Source organism: Homo sapiens, chromosome 2 (genome assembly GCF_000001405.40).
Source record: "Homo sapiens chromosome 2, GRCh38.p14 Primary Assembly".
NCBI lineage: Eukaryota > Metazoa > Chordata > Mammalia > Primates > Hominidae > Homo > Homo sapiens.
Genome location: NC_000002.12, coordinates 100,363,566 through 100,383,210, shown reverse-complemented (window position 1 = coordinate 100,383,210; position 19,645 = coordinate 100,363,566). Strand labels below are relative to the sequence as shown.

Below are 19,645 nucleotides of genomic sequence, written 5' to 3'. Positions count from 1 at the left end.
AAAACATAAATTTTACCTTTTATAAGTATGCAGTTCTATGTTTTAGTAAATGTACTTTTGCGACTATTACTACAATCTAGTTTTAGAACACATTTGTTACCCAAAAAATCTCCTAAATACCCATTTGAGGTCCAGCTTTAGGCCCAGGCAACCACTCTTCTTCCTCCTGTTTCTGTTTTTGCCTTTATTAGAAATTTCACATAAATGAATTAATATGATGTATAAATTCTTGAGTATGGCTTTTTTCCCTTAGTATAGTCTTTTAGATCCATCCGTATTGCTGCATGTATCAATATTTAGTTCATAGACTGGGCGCGGTGGATCACACCTGTAATCCCAGCACTTTGGGAGGCCAAGGTGGGTGGATCATTGAGGTCAGGAGTTCAAGACCAGCCTGGCCAACATGATGAAACCCCGTCTCTACTAAAAATACAAAAATTAGCCAGGCATGGTGGCAGGCACCTGTAATCCCAGCTACTTGGGAGGCTGAGGCAGGATAATTGTCTGAACCCAGGAGGCAGAGGTTGTGGTAAGCCAACATCACACCACTGCACTTCAGCCTAGGTAACAGAGTGAGATCCTGTCTCAAAAAAAAAAAAAAAAAGAAAAAAAAAAAGAAATTAGTTCATTTTTACTGCTGTGGGAATTCCATTATATGGAGATACCAATTTTATCTATTCACCATTTGATGAACATTTGGGTTGTTTCCCAGGTTTGGCTCTTATGAATAATGCTGCTATGAACACTTGCATACAAGACTTGGTGTAGGTATATGTTTCCACTTCCATGGGATACCTAGGCATGGAATTGCCGGTAATAAATATGTTTTTTTCTAATGAAAAGAAAATCAATGTTATGGCTTTTCCAAAGGGCAAAACTAGGCTGAACTTCCATGTTACAGAGAGAATAAAACTAAAGAATTAGCCATAGGCAAATTGCACTGATAAATTATCTGAAAACTAAAAGGTTAATTATAAAAATAACAGCAACATATTTTCTAGTCTACAGTTGATCCTTAAATATTAGTAATTATGGCCGGGTGTGGTGGTTCACGCCTGTAATCCCAGCACTTTGGGAAGCCGAGGCAGGTGGATAACCTGAGGTCAGGAGTTCGCGACCAGCCTGGCCAACATGGCGAAACCCCATCGCTACTAAAAATAAAATAACATAAAAATTAGCCGGGCATGGTGGCATGTGCCTGTAATCTCAGCTACTTGGGAGGCTGAGGCAGGAGAATCACTTGAACCCAGGAGGCGGAGGTTGCAGTGAGCGGAGATTGCACCACTGCACACCAGCCTGGGCGACAGAACGAGACTCCGTCTCAAAGAAAAAAATATATATGTACATATTAGACAATTATGATCAAAAGCTGTAGACTTCTAGACCAGAGTCTAGAAGGGTGTGGCCATGCTTGCCCTGGGCAGCCCCATGACAGCTGATGTGGAAAGCGGGAAGAGGCTGACAATCCTTCTCCCCAGCATGTCTGCATGAAGCCTTGTGATTCACTTTCACCAAGTACCTGATGTTTCACAATTCCAGCATTCCCGTTAATGTTACCTCCCATTGATCCTAAAAAGAGGCAAATATGAAGATGTATATAATTTTGGATAAATCAAAGGTGGTTCCTGAGGAGGAAAGTGTCCAGAACCTCTGATCTGCATAGTATTTTACACACTTCCAAGCATAAGAAGATGAACAGAATGGCAGAAGTGAGAGTACCCATTTTACAGTGAGGGGCATCAAAGAACAGGAAGTGCAACAAATGAGGGAGGTTCTTGGGCTACCATTCAAAGCTATCCACTTGGAAGTTTCTCTGCCAGTTTCATTTCCCCATGTTCCTCCAGGGGGCGCTGTTTCCTATTCTAGCTCCTGCTAAAGCCAGGTTCCCTTTCTGTAAACTCACTTGGGGAAACTCACCAAGGTACTCTCCGAAGCTACAATCATGACAGTTACAAAACACCGCTGTTCGGAGATTAGGCCTAGGACATACGTGGTCAGATTTTTCTCTGTTGAAGAGCAGGTAGAGAATGGGAAAACAAGTGTACAGAAATCACCAAAAATCTCAGAGCTGCGGGAACAGAAATTTTGTCTGTTTTATTAAATCATAAGTTCAAAAACAATGCAAAGCTTCCCTCCCTAGAAGATAATTCCTAGTAAAAGGCTGCTAAAACCCACAGGGTTTTGTTGGTGGTGGTGGTGGTGGTGTTAGTGATTTGTTTGAAATCTGGAACGCCTTGCTTTGGTCTTTGTATGGTTTCACCATGATTTTACCCATCCTGGAGCCTGCCCCAGCAATACTTGGGACAAGTCACACTAACTATGTATGTCTTCCTCTGAAAGGAATGGTGACCTGTGGTGGGCCCAGAGCAGCCGTTCCAGTTACAAAGGGGTATCTTCACCTGCAGTGAAGAAAGCAACTCTCAGCCACAGGGGTGTTAGCCGACCTTGGCCTGAATAGAGGCTCCTCAGGGCTTTGGAGGGAGTTTTAGAAAAAGAGGCCTCTCAGTGCCTGGCAGAGTTGTGCTCATCAGCTTCAACAAAACCCATCTAACTAAATGCAGGGAGCATTTGTGAGCAATTTTTCTATTCAATGATTGCTCAAAGTTGCAGATTATTCTCCAGATGATGTTCTTGCTTGATAAGAACCCAGCAAACAGTAAAATCAAGATATTCAGAAAAAGCTTTATATGTGTGTGTACGTGTATATACATACCATATAACTCAGGTTGGTTTCAGTAAGCCTACAGCTATAGCTTCCGTTCTTGGCAAAGATATATAAAGTGTATTCTTTGCTTTTATGTAATGCAGCAGGGTTTTTCTTCCTTTAAAAGCCTTCTGCTCCACACATTGACTGCTTTCTTGCTTCCCATGTTATCGTGTACACACTTCACTGACAACCTTCAGCCTGTATCACCTGAGATATGTTTCTCCTGCACAAAGACACAGCATCCTGCTGATTCTGTCTTTGTGGTATTAATGGCAGATGGCTTTAAAAATGCTTGTGGGGGTCAGGTGCAGTGGCTCACACCTGTAATCCCAGCACTTTGGGATGCAGAGGTGGGATGCTGAGGTGGATCACTTGAGGTCAGGAGTTCAAGACCAGCTTGGCCAGCATGGCGAAACCCTGTCTCTACTAAAAATACTAAAAATTAGCTGGACATGGTGGCAGGCACCTGTAATCCCAGCTACTTGGGAGGCTGAGGCAGGAGAATCGCTTGAGCCCAGGAGGCGGAGGTTGCAATGAGCCAAGATCGCACCACTGCACTCCAGCCTGGGTGACAATTACTTGTGGGAATCTGCATGTGAACGTACCTGGCTGGGAACACCCTGGCAGATACAGTCATTTAATGCCAGGAATAAAGGGCAGGAAGGTGTATAGTGAGAGAATCTGAGAAATGGGCACCAGGTGTGGAAAGAGCTGTAATGTGAAGTAGAAATGGGTAGGCTTGCTTTATGTCTTTAATTTCTTTCTTTTTTTTTTCTTTTTTGAGACAGAGTCTCGCTCTGTCTCCCAGGCTGGAGTGCAGTGGCGCAATCCTGCCTCACTGCAACCTCCGCCTCCCGGGTTCAAGCAATTCTCCTGCCTCAGCCTACCTGGTAGCTAGGACTGCAGGCGCACACCACCATGCCCAGCTAATTTTTGTATTTTTAGTAGAGACAGGGTTTCACCATGTTGGACAGGGTGGTCTCCATCTCTTGACCTTGTGATCCACCCACCTCGGCCTCCCAAAGTGTGGGACTACAGACATGAACCACCATGCCCAGCCTATGTCTAATTTCTTTTTAGCCTGCTTCCTGCTTTTTTTTTTTTTTTGCCACATGATTCTGGAGAATGCCAACCGATATCTACGAGATCTGTGAAACTGAGTTATACATATAAGAACTACTTTGTGAAGAAGATTTACCAGGACACATGCAAAGGATTTGGTGCGAGAAATTTCCATTGTAATGCTGTACATGCTCAGGTTCAGGGACTTCTAAGAGGGAAAAAAAGGCCACAGAGCTGTTGTCCAATCAATAGCCTCATTACCACTCAACCAATAACTCCATTAACACTAATGATGGCTTGTTTCCACTCCTGGCAACAAGGTCTGTACTTGTAGAATGACTAATGGCCACTTCATACAGAAATCCACGCCATCTCCTGTTCAATGTGCATCTGTGTCCCAGGCAGGTGGGATGTTGTTCATAGTTTATTTTTATACGCTTTGAATCATGTAAATCTGGGCCTGATGGTGAAAACTTGTCTGCCAAGGGCCAGTATGTAACGACAGTGATCGTGATGTTAATTGTGGTGGCCCGTGTTCATAGCACCATCCCACAGGGACTCCTCATCCATCATTTGGCTTTAATGTTCAGCCAGTCCTGCTCATTTGGGAATCAGCATGTCTTCTTGATGTAATGGTAGGTAAGTTTGATTGTGAAAATGAGGAACGGGCGTGCTCAGTGCTTGCCGAGGGGCTGGCACCGAGTCTACTAGGTAGAACAGGGGTTTCTACACCTAAAACATGTCATTGCGGTTCTTTTGCTGTCTTGGCATATGATTAATTACTTCACCTTTGTGTGTTCCTTAGTACTTTTCAGTAGACACAATAATGCCAGCTACCATCCTGGGATATAATGCTATAAAAACTAACTATAGTTCCTTGAATGTTTGTGTTTAGGAGGTGATACAGGCTAAAAATGTGCTTAAGATCAAGAAGATCTTAGATGCTATAGTAAATAATAAAGTATAGAATTTAATGATGAGAGTAGAATATTTTGGTTTTACACAGCACTTTGAGGTTGATAAATGGACACTACCAGGCTCTCTTTCAGAAGGATACACTGCATAGAGCATCATCCCTGTCATCATCACCATCAAATAACACCCCTTTGTAGGGCTTAATAATATATGATCTGCAAAGAGCTAATAATCTAGTGATAGGAACTCTCTGGCCCTTAAGAATGTACATTCTAAAATCAACTAATCATTTAGTATATCCTCTTGGTAAATGAGAAAAATGTAAATTTAAGCAAACATAATTGTGGAGAAGTTGGACCTCTTGTAGGAAGTCATTTCAGGATGCTCTTCTCATTTAGTTGAGAATCTCGATGTGTTGGGTGAGCAAAGAGCTGATTTCACTGAGGACGCCAAGAGCACTGAATGTGCCACATAAGAGAGGGAGAAACAGAAAGAGGTAGGCTTTAAGGGGGTAAGGTGAAACCAGTTGACAACTGTGCTGCCAGATAAGCAGTAATAATATTACTTTTATTTCTATTGTTTAAGTAACATTGGTATAAGTACCTATTTTACCAATTTAAGAAAGTTAGTTCACTATTTCAGTGTTAGAACAACATGTAGTTTATAACTAAAAGCACCTTGAAATTAGTATAGATATAAAGATTAGATCAAAGGGGCTGGCTGAGCACACCCACCTACCTCTCCTTCCCTTTGCTTTCATTATTTCTTTGCAACTTTCTTCTTGCCCACCTACCCAGGCAACAAGTCCTCCTCCTTCCCCTAAAACACTGGGGACAGGAGACAGCAAACAAGAACAGCAGCTACCAACAAGCGAACAGGGAATCTCAGACCTAATAATGAGTGATGCGCAATCAAGAAACATCAGACACTTGGGGGCAAAGCAGCACAGTGAAGCAGAAAGAACATTCCCTAGCAATAGCAGAAGAATGTCTTTCTGTGAAATTTAGATTTGCAAAATCTGAACACCTTGGAATTGTTGCAGGTGAACATCATGCCGTGGCCAGGGTAGATGGGCCCCGAACAGAAATAACACTTCTCAACAAGCATGTTGAACCCGTATGGGTCCCCACTGACCAAAGGCCAAACTTGAGAGGAAGTGACCGAATACCTTTCTAGTAAAGCAAATTAATAGCAATGCTGTTAGTGCCAGGAAAAGAAAAAGGGTCATCAATTGAAGGCAAATTTTAGGTAATCCCTGCGAAACAGAAAACAGACAGAATATGATTAATGAAGACAATGATAGCCTCAAACCCAGAAAGGGCTGTGGCAGCAAAAGAGTGGCCACTACTCTGGGAATGTTCCAAGTTCGGGGACATTGGACACAGGGAGCAGCAGGGAACCTGGGAAACCTGAAAAGCGATTGGGTCGAGAACGACATTCAGAGTTCCCAGTTAGGTCTGGCCCTTTGCCAAGCTTGTGCCAAGTAGGTAACAGCAGAGGTGTTTGCCCTCAGCTCAAAGTAATGAGTGGATGTGCCCCAGGGCTGGAGATTCCACATAGCTCAAGGGGAACAGGGAGGCTGGGCGCGGTGGCTCACGCCTCTAATCCCAGCACTTTGGGAGGCCAAGGTGGGTGGATCATTTGAGGTCAGGAGCTTGAGACCAGTCTGACCAACATGGTGAAACTCCACCCCTACTAAAAATACAAAAATTAGCTGAATGTGGTGGCACATGCCTGTACTCCCAGCTACTTGCGAGGCTGAGGCAGGAGACTCACTTGAACCCGGGAGGCGGAGGTTGCAGTGAGCCAAGATTGCACCACTGCACTCTAGCCTGGGGAACAGAGCGAGATTCTGTCTCAAAAAAAAAAGAAAAGAAAAGAAAAAAAGAGGAACAGGGAGCCTCGGACTCAGGAGATGAGCTGCTACACACCTTCCTCCCAAAGAGACATGCCTCCTCCTTCCCCTCAAACACTGGAGGCAGGGCACTGCAAAGAGACAGCAGTTAATGACATGGGAGCAGGGAACCTCAAACCTCACAACCAAGGAGCATGAGACACTTGAGGGGAAACAGCACCATAAACAGGGGCAGCAAGGCCCACAAGGAACCTACAGGAGGAAGGAACCTACAGGAGGAAGCATCATAAACAGAGCAGACAGAATAGGACAATTACAAGAAGTATCACTAACCATAGTTTTCAACCAATTTTTTAAATTAATTTATTTATTTTTTATTATACTTTAAGTTCTAGGGTACATGTGCACAACATGCAGGTTTGTTACATATGTATACATGTGCCATGTTGGTGTGCTGCACCCATTAACTCATCATTTATATTAGGTATATCTCCTAATGCTATCCCTCCCCCTCCTCCCACCCCACAACAGGCCCCGGTGTGTGATGTTCCCCACCCTGTGTCCAAGTGTTCTCATTGATTTTGAACCAGTTTTTGAAAACCAGAAAGATGAAATTCTCTTGTCCTTCTTTTGTCTCATTTGAGCACAGGATTATACTGGGCTCCTAATGAGCTGGAGCTGGTTAGCATCACCTGCCTGTCCCCCCACCCCTTTTTTTTCTGTGCCCTGGAACAGTTTGCATAAGCTATGAGTTATTTGTTCCTTGGAGGTTTTAGAAAATACACCCCAAACCACCATATGGGCCTTGAACCTTTGGCAGACAGAATACCTCTTCAAATGTTATTTCATTTTTTTCTATGGTTGTTGGTTTGCATAAGCTTTCTACTCCACTTTGGACCAACTTTGGAACTTTTATAATCCTGTGAGTTGCCTATGTCATCTAAGCTTGCAAATTCAATGAAGTAAAGAAATATTAATTTCTAATTTTAAAAAACTCTTTTGTATCTGTAGTTAAGCCTCCTTTCATTGCTTCTGTTTTTCATTACTGTCTTCTTTCTGGTTTTTGTCTTAATTATACTTCTAAATATTTGTCTATGATGTTGGTCTTCTCAAATGTTGGTCTTATGATGTTGGTCTTTTGAATTATTTTTATTTTTTTGAGACGGAGTCTCACTTCGTCACTCAGCCTGGAATGCTGTAGCATAATTTCGGCTCACTGCAACCTCCACCTCCCGGGTTCAAGCAATTCCCCTGCTTCAGCCTCCTGAGTAGCTGGGACTACAGGTGCCCGCCACCATGCCCGGCTAATTTTTGTATTTTTAGTAGAGACAGGGTTTCATCATGTTGGCCAGGCTGGTCTTGAACTCCTGACCTCATGTGATCTGCCCGCCTTGGCCTCCCAAAGTGTTGGGATTACAGGCATTAGCCACCGCGCCCAGCGCTTTCGACTTTTATTAGTCAAATCTACTGTTTTATTTTATTTTCTATTATTAATTTTTGTTCATTCCTTTATGATTACTTTAGTCCACTTTCTTTAAGTTTATTTTCTTGCTTTTTTTTTCTTTTTTTTTCCCTGAGAGAAATTTTAAAATTTTTAAAATTTTCTTCAAGGCTCTAATTTTTCTCTCAGCACAGTCTTTGAGTTGTAGGTCTTTTTGCTGTCTAGTCCTAAAGAATTTTGACTTTGACATTCTTTTTAGATGTATTTTTAAAAATACCTTTAACATAAATATGTATAGTTGCTAGAAATTCGTATTTTGTTTGCTTGTTAAGTCCTTTTAATGATTACCATATCACTAAACTGTGGTAGTGAATTCAGACTGTAGACAAAATTTTTAATTTTTTGTTGAGCGTTCCTTCGTGGATTAGGGAAATGTCAAATTGTTTGAAAAGTGCTTTTGTGAAAATAATTTTATAATATCTCTATTACAGAGATATATTTCATATATCATACAATTTATCAATTTAAATGGTTTTGAGTATAATTGGTATGTGCACCTGTCTACCTAGTCAATTTTAGAACATTTCTATCAAGCCAAAAAGAAGCACCATACTCTTTCACTATTATCCTCTGTTTCTTCCCCACCTTTTCCCTCACCGAGAAATGACTAATTTACTTTCTGTCTCTATAGATTTGCTTATTCTGGACATTTTATATAAATAAGATCATATAACGTGATATTTTATGTCTGGCTTTTATGACTAAGTGTAAGTGTTCAAAGTGTTCATCCATGTTGTAGCATGTAGCAATCAACATCAAATAGAAGTGGTAAGATACGACATTCCTTCCTTGTTCCTGATTTTAGGGAGACAGCATCCAGTCTTTCACCATAAAGTATGATGTTAATTACGAACTTTTTGTAGATGCCCTTTGTCAGATGGAGGAAGTTCCATAGCTAGTTTGTTTAGTGCTTTTTATCATAAGATGCTGTCAGATTTTATCACATGATTTCTCTGCATCAATTGAGATAATCAATGGTTTTCTCCTTTCTTCTACTAATTTGGCATATTAATTTAATGGATGTTCCAGTGTTTAAAAAAACACTGTGTGCCTGCGAAAATTCCCCCTTGGTGATGATATATAATCCTTTTTATACAACTCTGGATTCAGTTTTTCAATATTTTGTTGAGGATTTTTATGTCTATATTCATAAGAAATAGTGGTCTATCAATTTCTCATGATGTCTTTGGTTTTGGTATCACGGAAGCAATTGCCTCATAGAATGAGTTGGGAAGTGTTTTCCCTTTTTCTAAATGTTTTGGAAGAGTTTGTTAATAATTGGAATTAATTCTTCTTTAAATGTTTGGTTAAATTCACTAGTGAATCCATCTGGTCCTGTGGTTATCTTTGTAGAGAGTTCTTTATTACTAATTCAACCTCTTTTCTATTGGTCTGTTCAGATTGTCTATTTGTTATCAGTTTTTGTAGTTTATGAGTTTATAATGAATTTGTCCATTTCATCTAAATTATCCATTTATTGACACACAAATTATATTTCTTTATAATCTTTTCTATTTCTGTGATGTCCTTTTTTATTTCTGAGTCTAGTATTTTTTGTCTTCCTTCTTTTTTTTCTTGGCAATTCTAGTTAAAGCTTTGACAACTTTGTTCATACTAACTTCATTCCAGTGAGATATAAAAATGTCACTGCTATAGCTCTATTCACTTCCTCACTTTCTGGGGCATTATTTTTATACATAAACTAATGTTAAACATGTAACACTACATTTTAATAATTATTATTTTTATAATTTTATGTATTTTAAAGGAGCTGTTATGGGTTGAATTATGTTCCCCCAAAAGATATGTACTAAGCCTCAGAACCTCAGAATATGACCTTATTTGGAAATGGGCTTATTGTAAACATAGTTAGTTAAGATGAGATAATTTTGGAGTAGGGTAGGCCCTTAACCCAATATGAGTCGTGTCTTTACAAGAAGAGGAGTGAGAAAGACATAAAAAGGAGAATGCCATGTGAAGACACAGAGACACACAAGGAGAAGAAAAGCACAGGGAAGGCAGACTGGAGTGATGCATCTACCTGGTAAGGAATGTCAAAGATTGCTGAACACCAGAAGCTAAGAGAGAAGCATGGAACAGATTGTCCCCCAGAAACCTGCAGGAGGACTCAACCTTGCTACCACCTTGATTTCAGACTTGTAGCCTCCAGAGCTGTGAGAGGATTAGCTTACATTGTTTCAAGCCACTTAGTTTTGTGATAATTTGTTGTGGCAACCCCAGAAAACTAATACAGAAGTTAAGGAAGGAAAGAAAAAAAGTAAGTATATATGTGTAGCTTTTGTTATTTCAGTCTTCTTATTTATTATGTCTGGCTCTCTTTATTTGCCTGGATTTGAGTTGCTAGCTGGAGTCATTTTCTCAGCCAAATACACTTTTTCTCTCATCCACTTGTGCTGTTATTGGCATATATTTCTATATATTATAGACCCCTCATAACACATCATATACATATACACACATGTATATAATTTCTAACTTATGTATATAATTTATATCATATATACACACATATATAGTTTTATACAATTACTTTGTAAAACAGTTAAGGGAATAAAAGAGAAGAAATATGCATTTATACTGTATGTTATAATTACATGATTATGTTTCCTGGTGGTCTGTGCTTTATCATGGGGATTGAAGTTACTGTCTGGGATAATTTGTTTTCAGCCTGAAGAATTTCTTTAGTGTTTTCTGTAAGGCAGCTCTGCCAATAACAAATACTCTCCTTTTTTGCTTATCTATGAGATATTTGCCTGCATTTTCAAAAAAAAAAAGCTCTATTTGCCTGCATTTTTGAAAAATAGCTTTGCTGAATATAGGGTTTTTTGTTGACAGTTTTTTTTTTTTTTTTTTTTTTGCTTACTTTGAGCACTTTGACTATATTATCCTAATGCCTTCTGGCTCTCATTGTTTGTACTGAAGTCAGTGGATAATCTTATAAGAGTTTCCTTGTGAGTTTCCTTGAAGGTTCCCACTCAGAAGCTGGACGTCCTGCTTGAGATATTCTTGAAAGAATATCTCAAATGGAAAACTTAATATTTTACAGTGCTTAAATTGTTATCTATAGAGCAGTTAAGGGGAACGATAATCTTATAACAGGATCTGCATGATTCTTGGACAGTGATTGTTTTTTTTTTTTTCTGGCTGCTTTCAAGATGTTCTCACTGTCTTTGGCTTTCAGCATTTTTATGGTGATGTATCTATTTGTGAATATCTTTGCATTTATCCTATTTGAGGTCCATCGAGCTTCCTAGTTGTGTAGATTAATGATTTTTCATCAAATTTGGGGAGTTTTCAGTCATTATTTCTTCAACTCTTTGTTCTGCTTCTTTTGCTCTCTCCTCTCCTGGTACCTTCATTATATGTATGTTAATATGCTTAATGGTATATTAAAGGTATAAACTTTCTGTTAGGTACTCTTCTTTTTTTTTCTCTCTGCTCTTCAGATTGTATAATCTGTATTGGGATATCTTTAAATTTGCTAATTCTTCTGCCAGTTCAAGTCAACTGTTGAGACTCAAGTGAATTTTTTACTTCAGTTATTGTACTTTTTAATGCTCTACTTATCCATTTAGTTCTATATGCAGACAGTCCCTGATTTACAATGGTTTGATTTACATTTTTTGACTTTGTGATTAGTTTATCAGGATATTAAATGCATTTTTTTATAGAGACGGGTTCTCATTATGTTGCCAGGCTGGTCTCGAATGCCTGGGCTCAAGTGATCCTCCCACCTCAGCCTCCCAAAGTGCTTGGATTATAGATATGAGCCACCAAACCCAGCAAAAATACATTTTTGACTCTTCATATTTTTGACTTACAATGGACTTATCCATTATAAGCCAAGGAGCATCTGTGTGTGTGTGTATGTGTGCGTGTATATATACACATATGTGTGTAATTTCTATCTCTTTATTGACATTCTACACTTTATGCAACATTGTCATCATACTTCCTTTACTTCTTTAGTCATGGTTCCCTTTACCTCTTTAAACAGGTTTGTAACAGCTACTTTTAATATTTGTCTGTTAAATCCAACATCTAGTCACTTTCATAGCCAGTTTTCATTGCTTGCTCTGGTGGATGGGTCATATTTCCCTGTTCTTTGTATGCTTTATATATTTTTATTGTTAGAAACTGGTCATTTTATAGTGACACCATACCTATGAACTTTATAGAGTTAATCAAGGAGCAAGAGAGGGGCAGATGGGAAACTAACCAAACCTGCAGCACACTCAGCATTGATCATTAGATCAGCTACTCTCAGACCTGCTTCCTCAAAGTTTTTAGCTACCTACTGTCCAAGAATCATGCAGATCCTGTTATAAGATTATCATTCCTCATGGCGTGAACCCCGGGGGGCGGAGCCTGCAGTGAGCCGAGATCGCGCCACTGCACTCCAGCCTGGGCAACAGCGAGACTCCGTCTCAAAAAAAAAAAAAAGATTATCATTCCTTTTAACTGCTCTATAGATAACAACTTAAGCACTGTGAAACATTAGGTTTCCCATTTGAGATATTCTTTCAAGAATATCTCAAGAAGCAGGACATCCAGCTTCTGAGCAGGAACCTTCATAATGCCAGCAACAAAAGAGAAAATTAAATATGAGTGATGTTGAGAAAGGCAATAAGATTTTTGTTCAGAAGTTTGCCCAGTGCCATACCGTGGAAAAGGGAGGCAAGCGCAAGACTGAGACAAATCTCCATGGCCTCTTTGGGCAGAATACAGGTCAGGCTGTTGGATTCTCTTACATGGACCCCAATAAGAACAAAGGCATCACTTGGGGAGAGGGTATACTGATGGAGTATTTGGAGAATCCCAAGAAGTGCATCCTTGGAACAAAAATGATCTTTGCCAGCATTAAGAAGAAGGCAGAAAAGGCAGGCTTGATAGCTAGTAATGAGTAATAATTGGCCACTGTTTTATTACAAAACAAAAATGTGTAATGATTTTGTTTTATGTACCATAATTTAATAGATCTCATACACCAGAATTCAGATCGTGAATGACTGACAGAATATTTTTGTTGGGCGGTCCTGATTTAGCCAAGACTGGCTTGTGGTTAAAGACTGGCTTGTGGTTAAATGAACATGTTCAGTTTTTTTTTTTTATTTTAATGGTAACTCTGATTCAGTAAAAGCTATCACTGTTTACCCCTTCTAAAGATATGATTGGGCTTCATTAGTAATGTTTAACTTTTCATAAAGATGGTGAATGCCATCTTAAAATCTATTGGAGATTGGTTTTATATTTAGGTTTATATAACCGGTTATGTGAATATATTTAAATACTGAGGAAATTCCTTCACTGTCTCACAACCAAGTAAGATGCACCTGTGTTTTGTTTCCATTTGCCTCTTAAAGGCAAGAGCTGAAGATAAGGTAGGAATGTCTACTTTATATTTTTGGCCTTAACTGTGCCGATCTGATTACAACTCCCTGTATCTAAAATGGTTCCTTTGACCTATTGAAAGGCATTGTAGTGTGGTTTGTGTGTAATATCGAATAAAGATCATTTAATACTTCTTACATTTATAAAATGTGATGATCTATAAGGTCAGATGCTTTAAAAATAGTAGCAAGTTAAGCATCACTTTAAAATTCTTTACTATCTAAGTTAGACTAAGTTATAATTTAGGATTGTTTAGTCATTCAGAAACATAAAACTGTAGAACTGTTCTGTATTTGTGATTAGGAATGGTGCTTTTGCCAACTTAAAGGATTAAAGTAGAGGAGATATACGCAAATTTAAAAATTATGTGTAATCAATCATAAGACTTAAGATAATTACAATCACAGATCATGAAAAAAAAAAAAGAGAGATTCTTTTAGGTCCTGCATACTAATGAAACAGCTGATGCAAGCTGGTCTTCAGGACCCCAACAAGAAGCTGATTCACCAAAGAATGCAGTTTCCAGATCCTGGTGATTTCATCCCCTTTACCCTGACCAATCAATGACCTCAATTTTCCAGCCCCTGCCCTTCATAATCCCCTTAAAAATCCCAGACCAGAACTCCTCAGGGAGATGGATTTGAGGGTCTTCTCCCATCTCCTCACTTGGCTGTGCTTCTATTTTTAATGTCTTTCTCTGCTGCAAACCCTGCTGTCTCAATGCACAGTGGGCATATGAACCTATTGCTCCTGTAACAGTAGAATACATTGTAGTAACTCTGGCTACTGGTCCCTCCCCCACCTTTGGGGTTTGTTATTGTTATTTGCTTATTTGTTAGTGACTGGCTGGATTATTAAGTCTTTTTTCATCCTACCTTCCCCCATCTCCCCTTCAGTGTCAAGCCTCTCATGTCTGATGTTGCTCTGCAGAGGGTATAGCCTCCTGTATGCCCACAGTGACTTTGGGATAACAGTAATTTTGGCAGTGCTCTTTTTTCTTGACTATACCCAGGTGTTAAGCTTCAGTAATTGCCAGTTGATTTCTTTATTGTTTTCAACAAAGCCTGGGGCATATATTGCTTCACAGGCTAATCCAATCAACCTGGGGGTCTTTTGGAAGGATAGTTCCCTCTGCATATGTTTGAGATTTTTTTTTTCTGACTCCAGAAAGTTTCTTCTAAGCTGTCTCTTTGTGTTTTTTTGTTTGTTTTTTGTTTTTTCTGGAAAATAGCTAGCTTGCAGTTTAGCCTATATCTCCAATGAATCTATTAATCTCCTCCCAACTGCCTGTCACTACACCTTGCACTGTTTGAGCTTCTCCACATTCTTGCAACTGCAGCCAGTTGCTTTTTTATTGGATTTGGAACTCTGTTGTACAGCTTGCTTATCTCCCTGGGCAAAATCTATGAGCCACTGTTCTTGTCCTGGGGGTAGGGACAATGGCAAGCTTCTGAGTGACATCCCTGCTTTAAGAGCTGAGCACTCACTGGATGGAGGGAAGCAGCACCGGGTCTCCTCAGCTTGCCACACAAGCCAGGGCAAAGGCAATTGTTACCCCAGGATTCTCAGTATCCTTCTGCACAGGGAGAGCCTTCATCCCATGAGTGTGAGCTGGCCAAAGGAAGGGAGCCAACCTCTCTCTGTTGCACTAACCTGGAGCTTGGCCACAGCAACAAATATCTGGGGGAAGGATGAGAAATCTCATGCCCTGCCCCTCCTGGAAAGATAGCCCTCTGACTAGCAGTTTGCATGGGAGAGAGGAAAAAAGAGTCCCTGAGTTCTTGGCTGTACTAGTCTGGAGTTGAGTTTCCATCTAGCTGAGCTGGGAGCAGGAAGACAGTGCAGGTCTTGTTTTAAATACCACAGACTCTTGCAGTTCTTACTGAGTTTTAGTAAATTTTTTAAAATTTGAACTGTAAAAAAATTTTTAAAAATTTATTGTGTATCTCTAGAAATATTTTCATAAAACTTTAAATGATTGTGTATTTTGTGCATGTGTGTTATTGTTTTGTTTTCTAATTTAAATACACAAACGTAAAAATCAAGTGTGTTTCTTTAGGTTTACTTGATAGAGATTTCTGTATATTGTATATTTCAGAGGATTATATAACTGTACATGAAAACATAGAACTTCACAGGTTTTGTTACTTGAAGTAGAAGAAACGTTCACAGGAAGTTTAAAACAAACAAACAAAACAAATCCTGTGACCTTCAGAGCCCTAAACAATTATTGAAAGGCAAACTAGGGAACAATGGCTGGTATCGCTTAACTAGGCCCACATTTTAGCAACATTCAGGCCCCTCCCATAATCCTAATCTTGTGGTCTTTCATAGGTCTTACAAAAGTGACTTCAGTCCTGAGCAAGGAGGGGGATAGCAAGGAAGGGACTGTTACCATCTTTGTTTTAAAGCTAACAAAGGCAGTTAGCTTGTGAGGTTTAGAAACAAGATGTTATCAGTTAGGTTAGATTTCTAATTTTTGCAAAGGCAGTTTCAGTTCAGTGTTCTAAGATTCACCCATTTTTTTTGAATTAATGTGTCCTGAATTGTTGCAACCCTTTGGTTAATTTGCAGAGCTCTAAAAACATTGATTCTGACAATTCTTTTTGCCAGTTTTTTTTAATTGCTTTTATGAAGGAGATAATTTTCAAAGGTCCTTACTGTGATATTTTCTGTGATATCACCCTTTTATTGTTTAATGACTGCAGAATTGTAGTAATAGACCTTATTTCATTCCTTATATTGATGATTTGTATCTTCTATATTTTTATTGTTATCAGTCTTGCTAAAGTTTTATTAATATTAATTTTTTTCAAAGCTTTTTGTTTCATTGATTTTCTCTATTAGTGTCTTATTTTCAATTTTATTTTTCTCTCATCTTTATTTTTGTCTTTTTTCTTTGGAATATTTTTGCTCTTCTTCTACTTGATCAGATATTAATATAGCCTACTTTTTAAAAAACTTTTTTTTTTTGAGATGGAGTCTGACTCTGTCACCCAGGCTGGAGTACACTGGCGCAACCTCAGCTCCCTGCAACCTCCGCCTCCCTGCAACCTCTGCCTTCCAGGTTCAAGAGACTCTCCTGCCTCAGCCTCCCAAATAGCTGGGGTTACAGGTGTCCACCATGATGCCTGGCTAATTTTTGTGTTTTTAGTAGAGACAGGGTTTCACCATGTTGGTCAGGCTGGTCTCAATCTCCTGAGCTCAGGCGATCCACTTGTCTCAGCCTCCCAAAGTGCTGGGATTACAGGTGTGAGCCACCATGCCTGGCCTTAGATGTTGGCTGGGCGTGGTGGTGGGCGCCTGAAGTCCCAGCTACTTGGAAGGCTGAGGCAGGAGAATGGCATGAACCCGAGAGGCGGAGCTTGCAGTGAGCAGAGATCACTACAGCCAGGGTGACAGAGCGAGACTCCGTCTCAAAAAATAAATAAATAAATAAATAAATAAATAAATAAATGCACTTTAATAATTTTAACTTAATGTCAGGAATGAAATAGATATCACAATAAATTTAAATTTTTAACAATTTTAGCTATTAGACTTTTAATTTTAAAATTCATGTTTGCATGGTATATCTTTCTGTATCATTTTTTTTATGTATTTATTTTTTTGAGATGGAATCTCGCTCTGTTGCCCAGGCTGGAGTGCAGTGGCATGGTCTCAGCTCACTGCAACTTCCACCTCCGGGTTTGAAGTGATTCTTCTGCCTCAGCCAACCTGCCTAATGTCACTGAATTTTAAACAGCAGATAATTAGTTTTTTTTAATACATATTTGGTTAGTTTCTGTGTTGTAGGAAGTCAGGGACCCCGAATGGAGGGACCGGTTTACCAGGACCCATGTCTGCCAGTAACCATAAAGTTGACTGTTTGGTCTCTTTTGCAACCCAAGAAGCTCAGGAGTTCCATAATCTCACTCATGTCAATGCTGCTGGATTAAAAGATAAATTTGCTCTTACCTGGAAACAGGCTAAGTTTATTGTTCACAGCTGCCTTCAGTGTCAAGTCTTTGTACTTCTAAACCAGGAACCTGGCGTTAATCCCAGAGGCCTAATTCCTAATGCTTTATGGCAAATGGTTGTGACTCATGTGAGCTCCTTTGGCAGACTGTCATATGTGCATGTTTCTGTAGACACCTTCTCAGGTTTTAACTGGGCTACTTGCCAAACAGGGGAAGGCACGGCCCATGTTACAAAACATCTGTATTCTTGCTTTGCAGTTATGGGGCTTTCATATCAAATTAAGACAGACAACGCCCCTGGATGTGTTAGTAAGGCTTTTGATTTATTTATGCAACAGTGGGGAATTTCCCATATTACTGGAATCCCTTACAATCCTCAGGGACAGGCTGTGGTGGAACGGGCCAATCACACTTTAAAAGCCCAATTGTCCAAATAGTCTGACCAACAAAAACATAATTTAACTACCCCCCACTCCCAATTACATTTGGCATTGTTTACTTTAAATTTTTTAAATGTCCCTAAGAATAATAATCTAACTGCAGCCAAACGCCATTATACAGGCAAAAAATTCTCCCTAAACGAAGGCAAGCCAGTGTTATGGAAAAACTCCCAAAGTAATACTTGGGAACCTGGCACAATTATAACGTGGGGAAGAGGATATGCTTGTATTTCACCAGGAGATCATCAATCCCCTGTCTGGGTACCCACCAGGAGACTCAAGCTTCGGGTGAATACTGACAATGAAAACCACAGGGAAAAGACGTCTGTGTCAGAGACCGCCCTCAGACGTGGTGAGATCTGTGCCGACTCCTCAGAAGCAGGCACACCAAATCACAATGGGTCTGATTCAACCCTCCCTAATGGCAATGGAGACCCATCTAACTAATCCCACTTCTCCTGATTACCTTTCTTTTTCTCCTTACAAACCTAAAAATCTCACTATTTCTATTAGCCTGAAAATAACATCCCTCTGTTCTCTTCCTCCTTCAGCACTGAATCTCGCTTACAGTAGGTTTTATTTAATGATTCTCCTCCTTATACTTTCTGTCTCACCAGTTTCCTCTCACACTGATTTACCTGCTACACATAATTATTCTTATGTGCCTTTTCCTCCACTTATTCGACCTCTTACCTGGATAGATGCTCCTGCAGAAATCTACACTAATAATAGTGTGTGGATGCCTGGAGCTATAGATGACCATTGCCCTGCTCAACCAGGAGAAGAAGGCACTGCATTTAATGTTACCATGGGTTATAAATATCCTCCTCTGTGCCTCGGACATGCACCTGATTGTATCCATCTAGAAACTCAAATCTGGGCTGCTTATCTTCCAGAGAGATCAGCTACAGAGGAACCGGGACATTTGGTCTCTGGCCTCTCCCTTTCTCCTTTAAAACAAATGAAAGGGGGAGTAATTGGAGATACCCCATACTTTCAATATAAACCTGCAGGAAAACCATGCCCTAAAAATTTTGAGGGCCCATCTAAAAGTTTAATTTGGGAAGACTGTGTTATCTCACATGCAGTAATATTAAAAAATGACTCATATGGTTTAGTAATAGACTGGACACCAAAGGCCTATTTAAAAAACAATTGCTCCTCTGGTGGAAGGGAATGCCTGGAGGCTACTTATTTTATTTCTTATTGGGAGAATGAGAATCATCATTCTACTTTGCATAGGAGGTTCAGCTCATTCTTTCCCTTAAAATGGGAAGATAAAGGCATTACCCCCCGACTGAGGCCTCGTATGATACTCCCCATTCTGAGCCCAGAACACCCAGAACTTTGAAAATTGGCTATTGCCATGTCTGGACTGTGAGTATGGGTAGGGGAAACTATTCTGTCTGTTGTCTCCACTACCGTCCCCCTCTCTCAGTATCAGCGTAGATCCAGACATTCTGCTTTACTTACCTCCAACCTGACTGTTCCCATACAGAGTTGTGTTAAGCCTCCTTACATGCTGTTAGCAAGAAATATCAAAATTTTGATGAACAATCAAACTATCCAATGCATTAATTGTCATTTATACACTTGTATTAACTCCCATTTTGACTCCAGAAAAAGTGTAATGTTGGTTCGAGCTCGAGAAGGAATCTGGATTCCAGTAACTTTGCCCAGAGCTTGGGAATCCTCCCCCTCAATACATTTAATTAATGAAGTGTTACAGCAAATTCTAAAAAGATCTAAGAGATTTGTTTTCACTTTAATCTCTGTGATCATGGGCCTAATTAC

General features: G+C 39.7%; 1 pseudogene; it reads left to right on the top strand.

Moving 5' to 3' along the window:
* On the top strand, window positions 12,606–13,580 carry CYCSP7 (CYCS pseudogene 7; annotated as a pseudogene).